We start from the raw sequence: 12,954 nt of genomic DNA, 5'->3' as shown, positions 1-12,954 counted from the left end.
GGATAGCTTCTGTGCTGAATCGGCCATGCCAATTCCCATTGTAAATGGTTCCCTTCCCAGTTCAAAAGGGGTCACAAATCTTATCAAATGGTAAATTTATTTAATGACTGAATATGATATATAGCAAGCGGCTTCCTGTTTGTGTTATTTACTTTGTCATATTAGTCATGATATGAATAATACCACTGTGTTTCGTGAATTAGGTTCTCAGAGGCACTGTGACTGACTTCCCTGGATTTGATGAGCGGGCTGATGCAGAAACTCTTCGGAAGGCTATGAAAGGCTTGGGTAAATTTAGCTTCCTCTTTCTAAAGCAAATGTGATATTTGTTTTTCCAAACAAGTCATTAATTACAGTAAGAATAATTTTAGAATATTTTGATCTGAAATCTGTAGGAGAAGAGATATGTTAAGATAACAAAATAATACTATAAACCAGAGTGTCCAGTCTTTTGGCTTCTCTGGGCCACATTGGAAGAATTATCTTGGGCCACACATAAAATACACTAACAATAATGATAGCTGATGAGCTAAAAAAAAAAAAAAAGCAAAAAAATTTCATAATGTTTTCAGAAAGTTTATGAGTTTGTGTTAGGCTGCATTCAGAGCTGTCCTGGGCCACATGTGGCTTGCAGGCCATGGGTTGGACAAGCTTGCTATAAACCATCCCTAATATTCAGTCTCTAGAACTGAACAGGCAGTTAAATTCAGCCTCTGTGCTTTTGAGCTTGTCACCCTCACCTGTGTGGTAGAGGCCCGAGTCGATAAGGCAGCCATCCCTGCAGGTGGGCAGCTGTGCAGCTCTGTTCCCAATCAGATATCCCATTCTCATTCTGCTAGACTCTTCTCTTTCCCCAGCCTCTTTTCTAGTCATTTAAAAACCTCTCATCTCAAGGATTTCCATGTGTCACTGATCTCCTGTGCTCAGGCTCCTTTTGTACTACTGTTCATGTGCTTTCTGGCCCTGTAAGTCCTTCCATTGTATCCAGCCCACCTTTTCAGACTCATCTCCCATTACTGTTTAATGTGTTCTCAGACCCAACCATCCTGGCTTATCTGCTGTTTATGAAAGCCCTGTATTTCCCCACTGCTGAGCTTTTCTCTCATTCTAAACGCTGTCCTTCCTTTCGTCACTGCCTTTCACAATCCTTCCATCCTTCAATACTTGTGGGTGTCACCTTCTCCATGAATCATTCTCCAAGATTCCCTTCCACCTCCTATCAGCTAGGAGACCCTTCTTTGAGCCCCATTTAACACCTAGATCTCTCCTGAGGCACTTGTCACATTTTGCCTTAGCTCATACTTATTTGTGTGTTTTTAAAAAACTAGGTGCCCTAAGTTTTTTAAAAGGCAGAAGTATTTTTCCATCTACTTCACAATAGGTTGGGAATGGGGGGTAGAATATATTGGAAACGTAACATTTTATATATTGTAAATTTTTAATAAACTGTTTAATAAAACATTTATATATATGTGTGTATTTGCGTCTGTGTGTGTGTGTGTGTATATATATATGTGTGTGTGTATATATATATATATATACATATTTTTTTTTTTTCTAAGAGATGGGGGTCTCACTATGTTGACCAGGCAGGTCTTGAACTCCTGGCCTCAAGCAATCCTCCCATCTTGGCCTCCCAAAGAGCTAGGATTACAGATGTGAGCCACTGCGCCGGCCATAAAATATATTTTATATTCGCATAGGGAGAGGCAAGGAAATAAGGTGACTGGGAAGCGAGTTGCCAAGATCGTTGGGAGAGTATGCATGTAGGAGCCAAAATGTAATTGTTAACCATAAATTGCAGGCACAGATGAGGAGAGCATCCTGACTCTGTTGACATCCCGAAGTAATGCTCAGCGCCAGGAAATCTCTGCAGCTTTTAAGACTCTGTTTGGCAGGGTAAGACCACACTTCATCCCAAGAGAGAATGGGAGAACAGCTATCAGTTATAAGACTAGTTTGGAATATACTGATATTCTTTTGTAAGCATCATTTATTTTGTGATTCCGACTTCCCTACTTCTGTTTCTTTTCCACTCTCCTCTAAATTATCAGCTCTTAGGATACAGTGCTCACCCAGCTTATCCTCACATAATTGTTTTTCCTTGCCTAATGCTGTAGAGGTGCCAAAAGATCCTGTAGTGAGAACTGTCTCTCTTCTTTTCCTCTGTGTTTCCCACTCAGCATTCACATGGATGTCTTACTATCCATTTTCTAGGTGTAAGCCTGTATTAAAATATGTTTTGTTTTAACACAGTCACAGTCTTGGTTCCTTTTGTCATGATTTTAACTAATGGGTTTTTAATTAGTTGATTTAAATGCTTTTATTTGATTAATAATTCAAAAAAATTTATTTGAATTATTTAAATGAATTATTTGAATTATTTAAATTTAAATGAATTAGTGCATGCATGGAAAACTTAAATGTAGTCTTGTTATTCTGAAAACGTATGTCACTTAACTAAGGAAACAAGTGCAAAGCAAAAAAGAAAGTATTCTAAACACCATTTTTAGTTGTGTGGTATGCTGAAACTTATAGGTAGGAAATACTGTGTTTTTTTTTTCACAATTACATAATTTTTTCATAATTACATACACAATTTCCCCATAGGAACAGATATCTCCCAGTGGTCAGGAGTCATAACAATGACTATAATCTATTATGTGTTTGAATGTTATTACATATTGAGAGAAAAGAAAAAATTATTACGTTTGGGTATGAGAGACTAAATGTTGTCCTTTGTAAATTTCATTATATGATTATTTTTTGAAATTACAAAGAAGATATGTTTCTCAGAATAGTATTTTTATAAAATAGTTTTAGACTACTTTTAAAGGTATTCTTTTTTTTCAAGTTAAGAAAAACATCTTTTAGAAACAAATATCTTGACGTATAAGTGGGTTTGCTTTAGTTTAAGATTTTGGTCACAGGTTAAAAGTATGTTATTCAAGGTTATAGGGTTTTGTTTAGCTCATGGGCCTTCTACTTGGAGACAGCAACATAAAGAATTCATTAGAGCAAAGGACTGTCATTCATATTTAAGAAGAATCTTATTACAATTTCTGCTGGTTAACAAATTTGTATTTTCTGTGGGTTAGGATCTTCTGGATGACCTGAAATCAGAACTAACTGGAAAATTTGAAAAATTAATTGTGGCTCTGATGAAACCCTCTCGGCTTTATGATGCTTATGAACTGAAACATGCCTTGAAGGTAAAAAGGATGAGTGAAAGGAACATTCTTGCATAGATAGTATTATTTTGTTTTGGTAATTACTTCCTCTTATTTGTTATATTTAAAAAATTTTATCTGATTATTTCAGTGAGAGTTGCTTGGCAGACAAAACTGGGAGGCAATAAGCAGTAAAGGAGGGAGAAAATTACACGTGTGTCATTTCATCTTTTTGTAGATTTAAACTCAATAATACTGGGCTGTTTAAAATTTTCATATTTTTATAGCTTTTTGTATTTTATTTTCATGCCTGTCTTCTGATTTTGAGGATGTTTAAAAAATATTACAGATGAGCTATTTTATCTTTTTCAGTAGAAAATTGCCTGATTAGGGAACCATAATATTGCTCATCATTTTAGGTTAAAAGGTAAAGCTTCAGAGAGAATTTTCAAGATAAATATTTTCTCATACTCTTTCCTTCTTTCCTGCCCCTCTAAACACTAAAATGAAGTAGCTGGTAAACTTGCTATAATTTCAGTTGCAGCAAAAATTAAATATGTATTCCCTTGACTGGTGTTTGGAATGTTGTATAAATATGAAGGCATTGACACATTTGTTTAGGCTCATGGGACAGGAAGTAGTTCAGTTGTTAGCTGTTAGATTTTGAATGGGCACATTGAGATTTAACAAGGAAATAATGTTTCTCAGGGATTCTTACTGATGGAGTGGAGAGAGGAGAAGGGTCATCCTGATAGGAGCTGGTTTGTGCTCAGTCTCTTCATTTTCCTATGGTGATTCTTTTGGAATAAACAAAAATCTGAGGTTATTGAGAAAAGCACTTTTTTTGCTAAGTACTTCTGAAATGTCAGCAGTAGTTGAAATTCTGCCAGAGAATGAACTCTAGGTTTTTCAGTGCTTGATTTTTGGCAAAAAATAGAAATATAAAGAAAATAAGGCTTCAATATACTATCTTTTAAAAAAAATTAAGTCCAGCTATATCGTTGCATCTCTTAGTTTAATCATATAGATGTGATTTTTAAAAGCAGAAAAAGGAAAGCCAACTAAAATGATTTTTCAAAAATCCAGAAAGCAAGTCCCAATTCCTTTATACTGTTCTAATTCCTAATAATTAAGTATTGCTATATTTATTGTTACCTTTGATGTAGAATTTTCCTGTGACTGCACAGCACTTAACTTGGGGGTCAGGGGTTTATCTTTTGAGGTGCTTATTAAGTATCAGTGCTCTTCCATGTACATTTACGTGAAGTTTTCATTTTTACTCTTTCGGTTTTTAAAAAATTACTTCATGTTTCATGAAAATGTTTTACTTTTAAGCTAGAATTAACTGATCAAATTAAAAGTTACAAATTTATGTAACTGGTTATGTATACGTACACATATATACACACATACACATGATAAACATTGTTTTCCATTAGGCAAAAAGAATAAAATGGTCTTTGGAGAGAAAATCATTTAAAACTTGTTATTTCTATAACTAATAGAACTCATATACAAAGAAATCCATGTTATACTGGATAATATTTATATAACTATGCAATTTGGGTAACATCTATAACTTTCTTTTAATAACTTTCTTTTTAATCTTATTGACATGTTTTCTCTATTAAAATCTCCAAACAGGGAGCTGGAACAAATGAAAAAGTACTGACAGAAATTATTGCTTCAAGGACACCTGAAGAACTGAGAGCCATCAAACAAGTTTATGAAGAAGGTAAATGTTTGTGAGTTATATTTTGACTTCACCTCCACTATCACTTCCTTCATTTCTGTGATTTGAATGCAGTCCTTTGTAGGTATGGGAGGCACGCAGTAAATGATGGATGAATGAATGAATGAATGAATGACCTGCAATTCAAGCTATTTTTCTCCTTCAGTAAGGAAAAGACTGCCTTGTTATCCTCTACTATTTTCATATTTTATAAGAAGCTACTGCTGAAGATGGAGTTTACTTTTGCATAGGATTTGCAATTAGTGTAGGGATATACAGGTTGTCTTTATGTTAACATTAAGGTAAAAATGGTTTTTCCTCCTTTAAAAATATTTAGCTTTATGCTAGCAAAATTTAGGAGTTATATAAAAAGTACTTTTGGAACTTTGGAAGAGAAACCTAAACCCTTTCCCACATCAGAGTTGATAAAGTACATTTGAGTAAATGTATGTTGTCTTAGCTAATGGCAGTGCTTGAATAAAATATTCTGCATTTTGATTTTTCTTTTTAGTGTGTCTTTTATATGAACAGAAATCTGCATTTCGGCCTAAAATATGTCTCATGAATAGAATCAAGAAAATGAAGTAAAAAGTAGAGGTAGAGAGTCCTTTTCTTACCAGATTTCTTGTAGCCAACTCTTTCTCCTGCCTGACTGAGGAGGGTCAGACTATCCAGTTTCTCAGCTCAGTCAACAGACTCCAAGCCTAGTGTCTTTTGCTAGGGGCTGTATCTTGCCATTAGTTTGTTAATCTTAGAAATGGCTTTGTTAACCCAGCAAGTCAAAACAGCAAAAAATTGTTTAGAGCAACTGTATAATTACCTTTCTAAAGGGCTGAATCTCTCTTTCCTGCTTCTCTTTTTATAGGCAGTAAGTTCCCAACCGCTAAGGCAGAAGTGATACATGTATCTCAACTTTGAACTTTATTTGATGTACTATTCAAAGATCTCTTTCTGGGGATGTTGACGTTGATGAGAGCCTTTGTGCTACTGGATTACAAATGGTGTGCTCAAAGGGGGTAATAACTGTGTGGTCTGTCCTACTCAGCCGTGTAATTGAGCACTGGCTATGTGTCTGGCAGTGTGTTAACAGGCTGTCATGAGTGACAAAAGGTGTGCATAACACAGCTCCTGTCCTCAAGCAGTTTGTGTGCAGTCTCCTCAGTGGGTGACATGACAGAATGACTGCAATATTTAAAGGATAATGAAATTCAAACTAAAGTAAAATACCAATGATGTTAAATGCAATAATGCATTCAGAAGAGAGAGGTCATCATAGCTTTGGATGTTAGGGAGGCTTCATGGTACAAATCACACATGCAGCAGAGTTTCAAGACTAGGTGGGTTTACAAAGTGTCCATTGACAGATGAATAGATAAAGAATACGTACACACACACACACAAACACAGACACACACACACAGGAGTACTGTTCAGTCTTAAAGAGGGGAAATCCTGTCATTTCAACATCATGGATAAACGTGGAGGACATAATGCAAAGTGAAATAAGCTAGGCACAAGGCATAAGCTATGCATGATCTCACTTCTTATGTTGAATCTAAAAAAATTGAACTCATAGAAACAGATAGTAAAACAGTGTTTGCTAGGGTGTAGGGGTGGGGTGAATGGGAGAAGGGACTGGTGAAATATTGGTCAAAGCATACACGATTTTAGTTAGGCAGGATGAATAAGTTCTGGGGATCTCATGAACAGCGTGGTGACTATAGTGAAAGTATAACTATTATATGCTTGAAATTTGTGAATACAGTATATTTTAAATGTCCTCACCACACACAAAAATATAGACTATATGAAGTGATGGATATGCTGATTAACTTGATTGTGGTAATCATTTCACAACGTACACATATATGAAAACATCATGGTGTATACCTTAAATATATACAATTTTTATTTGTCCATCATAACTCAATAAAGCTGGGAAAAAAAGACTAGGTGCATTTTGAGTAGGTAGAAAAGATATTTTTGGGTGAGGTACTGCCTGTCTTTAATGGCATGGAGACTGGACTGTGGAGAGTGTATTGAGGGACGGAGAGGGCCTGGCTGCTGTGGAGGATGTGTGCATGTCCATTGTGGGAGGTAAATGGAACAAGCGAGGTTAGGCTCAGATATAGATGGTTTTGCATGACTGGATTAGGAATTTGGACTTAATTCACAGGCACTGTAAATTCCTGAATGAGCAGTGGAGTGCTGAAGGAACAATTGAGGGAGGAAGGAGATTTGAATTGAGAGGCTAATTGGATAGTTATGTGTGTGGGAGGTAAGCTAGGTATTTAGGAATTGTGGCCCAACCTAGGTGAGTGAGAGGTGTGAGGAGGATAAATCAGGGACAGGAGAAACGTGATAGGATTTAATGGTTAATATTTACAGGTGTTGGTGTAGAAGAAAGAATTAAAGATTCCTACAAGGTTTTGTATTTGGGTAACTTGTTGAAATAAACATGTAACTCTTCTGGGCCTTTTAAAATAGAAGTTTCAGGCTTTTAAAGTTCGTTTGCTTTTGCATAATAATTAAATATTTAAATACCTTAGAGTAAGGCCTCCTTTCCTTTAATAGCATCTGTTTGAGAGTAGTGAGAAAGACTTGTAGACTCTTGTAGATCCCAGTTCTCCCCTTTTATATGGGCTTACATTGAGCAGCTGGAAATAGAGGTGGGAGGGGGGCCTACTTTAAAATATCATTGCTGTCTCTCAAGAGTTAACTTTATTTCTGCAGAGGAAAAATACCTTATTAGGAGTGATGGCCATGCCCAAAGAAATAAATCTCAGAATATTAGAGATAGAAGACATTTGGAAGCTAACCATATAAAAGATTTGAAAGAAAGCAAAACAGAGTTTAAGCTTATGATTGATTGTGTTTTGGAGACTTTCCAGTACCATCATGTATCTATAGATTAATGACTACATTGGTCGAGAGAATTTCTAAATGGCTGAGTCTTGATTTAAGTTTGAATTGAGTGCCTTTGGGAGACTTTAATTCATTTTTGTCCAACCACTCACTGAAAGCATTTGCTTAGAGCATTCAGAGATGGAATAGAGGGAATTTATGTTAACCAAATATAATTATTTCTTCTTTTACATCGCTTTCATTTGATTAATGGGGCAAGATTACTTTTCTAGTTGAAAGAAGATGTAAATAAGTATGAAATTATTTTGTTGCAGAATATGGCTCAAGCCTGGAAGATGACGTGGTGGGGGACACTTCAGGGTACTACCAGCGGATGTTGGTGGTTCTCCTTCAGGTATTGCGTGGAGATTAATTACAGTTTGATTAAAAAGCCTGAAGTTGGACTGGGCTGAATCTAGTTAAGTAAGGTCACTTAAAATTCTTTTAATAATTTGTGGTACTTGCTGATTCTTACTGCGATGATTCTGACTGTATGTTGCCTGTGCTTGTTTGTGTTTCAGAATATCTGGTCTAAATTCTTAACAGCTAACTCATACATGTTTTAGATAGTAGTATCTTGTTCCTTTCATAGAATGATAGCGGTATCTTGTTCTTTCATAGAATTTAAAATCAGTAGGGTCATTATTGGTTTTGGACAGTGCTGGGTGATGATAACGTGAAATAGTGCAGGATTGATCTTAATAAAAGCATATTATTCCTAGAGAAAGAGTGTTATTGAATAACCATCAGGTGGAACCATTTTTCCTTTTGAATGAGAATGCTCTATAGTTCAGTAATGTGACATATTACCTCTCATAGGCTAACAGAGACCCTGATGCTGGAATTGATGAAGCTCAAGTTGAACAAGATGCTCAGGTGAGTGACACCAGGATATGATGACTTTATTATGCTGTAGAAATGAAGAAATAATTCATGGTAATGAAAAATCACAATGTATGTTGTAATAGCTTCTAGTGATAATCTTGTTAATGGGTTATTTACATAGCATAAGACCTACATAAGTAGCTTTTTCTTATTCTGACCTGGTCAGCAAAATATTTTACCTTAAAGCTGAAACGAAATAAAATAAATTATATAGTGAGTTCCAACTAGACATGTTTTTTTTTGTGATTATTGAACATTCACAAAATAGAGAATTTTACCAAAAAACAGTGTTATTACTTCCACTGCCAATTATGCAGTGGGTCTCTTAGCAGGAGAAGATAAAGAAGAAAGAATAAAGTATTTAACAGTAAGTGGTGTTTAATTACATAAGAGATGACAAGTTATTTTGGTATTAGGAAATTTCTCTGCATTTCCTTCGACAGAATTTTAAGTAGGATTGGTCTTCTGTCAGCAGCTTTTTAGTGACTCCAAATGAAAATTTCCTCTTAAGTGACTTATAAACCCCTATAAAGTCTCAGTCTGGTTAATAAAACAGTTATTAAAATATAGGAAAGGAAATTTGAAACATGAGAGCTGAAAACTGGAAATTGGTAATAAAGGAATTACTTGGGTTCCTAGAACCACCAATCATAGACCTCTTTCTGGTCACATGTTTCAATTAAGAGAATATACAATTCTTGGTTGTTTGTCATGTATCATTGAAAAAGGAAGAGCCATATTCATTCCTCCAGTGGAACAACCCATGGATATGCGATCTCACTTTGCTAACAGGAAAGAGGAGAGCGGTTATTCTTTTGGGTAGGTTGATTTTATAATGGTTTCAGAATGCTGTCATCTCTGTCTAGCTGGAGAGAAAAAAAGAACTGAATGTTTACCGAGGGCTCTCTGTGCAGTATTTGACTCTTGCTTCACTCTGTCTTAGAAAATGCAAGCCAATTGTGTCCAGCCCCTTCAGACTCTGGTGGTTCCATTGCCCTCAGGATAAAGTCCGGGTTCCTGAATGGGTTACAAGCCCCTTTGTTATCTGTGTGTTGTTTACTTATGCCTCCAGCCTCTCTCACATGCTCTCTCTGCCCTCTTGCCCCTCCCACCCCGCTTCACCTGAGTCCTCTTCAAGAGTCAGTCTTCAGCTTAGATACTTTAGAGTTAGGTGCCCCTCACAGGGAAAACCATACCCCCCCCCGCCCCCAGGCTTCCTGTCACAGTTCTTGCCACGTTCTCTGGAAGCCATCTATTTACTTCACTGCCTTCCTGGGCCCCCTGAGCTGTCAGTTCAATTGTATCCTCAGCTTCTGGCATAGAGTAGGTGCTCAGTAAATAACTGATGAATGAATGAGCACATAACTCTACCAGAAAGGGGCAATTTCCCTTTTATGGATAAAGAAACAAACCCATGGCTTCCACTGAATAGCAGTGGAGTTGGAATTCCTAACGAGGCCTGTCTGACTCCAAAGCTCTTTCTCTTTCACTAGAAGATAGTCAGTGTTATTGAATATTAATATTTCACTATAAGAATATTTCACTGTAAGATATTCAGTGTTCTTGAGTATTAGTGCCTTCCCTGATTTTCTCTATCATTAAAGGGCTTATTAAATATCAACTCAAGCATAGATCTAGCTTAATTCCACCTTCTTTCGGGAAGAGGGCTAGAGCAACCCTACAGAGTTGTACTCCTGTTAGGGGCTTTGTTCAGTACTGAGGTGATCTTACTGCTTTCCAAGCATTGGTTGTGGCTTTGCTAGGAGATAGTGCTGATTCTCTCATTCCTACTGTCAAGAGTAGGATAGGAGTTCTGGGAGCTTTTCAGGGTCACAGTGTAAGAAACCAACTCTAGTCCTCTCAGATGTCTGCAGTGAGGCCTGCATTCACAGGCAGAGGGCAGATTTCCCAGCATAGTTGGTGATGTAATGAGAGCATTGCTGCAGCACGAGGCTCCTGAGGGGAAAACAGTACATTTTAACCTTGTTTTCATTGATTTCTGTCCTTGGAGCACTTACTGGATAGCACTGCTGCTCAAACTTTCATGGGCATGTGGCGCACCTGGGACCTTTAATTGCAGATTCTGATTCTATGGGTCTGGGCAGGGGCTGGGAGTCTGGATTTTGAACATGCTCTCAGGTAATGCCTGCATTCTTGGTCCTTTGATTACTGAGGCTGTATAGGTGACACTTACGTGTCATGCAGTGGATATAACCATTCAGAACCCTGAGAGTACATGTGAGACTGTACATGTGAAAACTGCTTTATGGAGTTACTTTAAAGTATCCCTTGAATGGAATCCAAGCTTTTCTTAGCCTTCCAGTGACTAGGAGCAATACAGAACATGTTACACTGGCTATTATTTTTGATTCTTTCAAATGTATTATTATTAATTAATAAACCTGTTGAAAACAAATAATCTTTTGGCATTATAAAAAGGAACACACCAACTTGTACCTCGTAGCAAGGGCAGCTGGACTGTTATCACTAGTGAGAATTTGAGATTTCTTAATTGAGAGTAAGCTGAGACAGCTAAAGGGCTCTTTTATAAGCTTTTGCATTTTTGTCTCTACTGATACCTGGCACTAAGAAGATTTCTATTATTTGAGAGGTTTGATAAGCCATAGTGAGTCATTCACTTGGGAACTGAACGTTTTGTAGATAATCCACTTTTTAACATTTTTAATGTGTTAAATTGATTTAATACTTTTAATGCATTAAAACAGATTTACCTTCTTCCCCAGTAAATCCTTGTTTTATTCTTTCTCTGGAGGGAGAGTTGAACTCTTAGAGGAAAGAGGGAGAAGGAGAAGTAATCAGGCACTTTTTACTTTTACTGGGCATTTGCTACTGATTACCTGACACTGTTCAGTGCATTATCTTAGTTATATAATCTCCGTTAATGACTATATACACTGAGGCTGAAGAGGAGATTAAGTAGTTCATCTGAGATCTTGCAGATAGACCACATCTGTTTTGACTCCAAAGACTCATCCTTTGCACTGAACCAGGGCTTATGAAACTGTACTCAGGCTGAACCGTAAAGCTTAGGGAAGGGGTGTAAGGGTCCCTCATCCAGATGGATCCATGAATATTGGGCATCCTCATTTAGGAGAAAGGATACTTAGATTAAAACAAAACTGTTAAATATCATTGTTTTACATGAAGAAGCCATCATTATTATTGCATATGATTACTTAATAATAGTTTTACAGTAGATATTGATCCCAAACATAATTCTCCCAAGAAAATTAAAACATTGTGGTAAAAATAACTGACATCTCACCAATTATTCCCATATAACAGGCTTAACTCCTGTACCTACTAGAGAACATTTCTAGACATTTAAAACAGTTGATAAGAAGTGTGTGCATCAATGTCTGTGATATTGTACAAGATGAGTCCTTTACCCATTTAGGTGTTAATGTATTTGTATATTTTATCTACATGTAGAAACATACCAGAAGTAGTAACTAGCACCCTCAGGAAATTGATATTAAATAGCAACTTTTCTTTTCTTTCCTTTCTCTTTCCCCTTTCTCCTTTTTCCTTTTCTTTCCTTCACCTTTCCTTCCCCTCCCATTTCCTTACCCTCCCCTTTCCTTCCCCTCCCTTCTCCTTCCTATCCCCTCTCCCTCCCCTCCCCTCTCCCTCCCCTCCCTTCTCCTTTCCGCCCCTCTCCCTCCCCTCCCCTCCCCTCCCTCTTCCCCTTTCCTTTCCTTCGTGCCCAGGCTGGAGTGCAGTGCCATGATCTAGGCTCACTGCAACCTCTGCCTCCTGGGTTCAAACAATTCTCTTGCCACAGCCTCCCGGGTAGCTGGGATTACAGGCATCTGCCACCGTGCCTGGATAAGTTTTGTATTTTTAGTAGAGACAGGTTTTGACAGGTTGCCCAGGCTGGTCTTGAACTCCTGGGCTCAAGCGATCCACCTGCCTCAGCGTCCCAAAATGCTGGGATTACAGGCATGAGCCACTATGCCTAGCCTGCAACTTCTATTTTCTTATTTTTGTTCTTTCTTAGTTTTATAAAATTTCTCAATGAACTTGCGTTGTTTTTGTAATTAAATTTTAAAAGTTATTTTAAGAAAGGTCTGTGTCATCATGATATAGTTCTAAAGTTTAGATGCATGCATGACTTTCAGAGTTACTGTCTTTTCAGGTTTTAAGAGCATGTTCACATGGCCAGAATTGATATTATTCATTTTTATCTTTAAAATAATTAATTTTAAAATTGAGCATAAAGATACATGAGTCTCATTTTTT

At 37.0% G+C, this 12,954-nt stretch overlaps 1 protein-coding gene across 2 annotated transcripts in view; it reads left to right on the top strand.

The window, feature by feature from the left end:
• The window catches only part of ANXA5 (annexin A5), a 29,035-nt gene that overhangs the window by 10,405 nt on the left and 5,676 nt on the right, over nt 1-12,954 (top strand). Inside the window, exons 3-8 of one of the 2 annotated variants that reach the window (NM_001154.4) lie at nt 204-288; nt 1,805-1,899; nt 3,099-3,212; nt 4,815-4,905; nt 8,082-8,161; nt 8,626-8,682. In NM_001154.4, the coding sequence (NP_001145.1) occupies nt 204-288; nt 1,805-1,899; nt 3,099-3,212; nt 4,815-4,905; nt 8,082-8,161; nt 8,626-8,682 (522 nt within the window). Of the gene's footprint in view, nt 1-203; nt 289-1,804; nt 1,900-3,098; nt 3,213-4,814; nt 4,906-5,767; nt 8,162-8,625; nt 8,683-12,954 lie in introns of those variants that run through there. The other variant, XM_017008141.3, reaches the window with a different exon arrangement.

Source organism: Homo sapiens, chromosome 4, assembly GCF_000001405.40.
Source record: "Homo sapiens chromosome 4, GRCh38.p14 Primary Assembly".
Classification (NCBI taxonomy): domain Eukaryota; kingdom Metazoa; phylum Chordata; class Mammalia; order Primates; family Hominidae; genus Homo; species Homo sapiens.
This window is presented reverse-complemented; position numbering and strand designations above follow the sequence as displayed.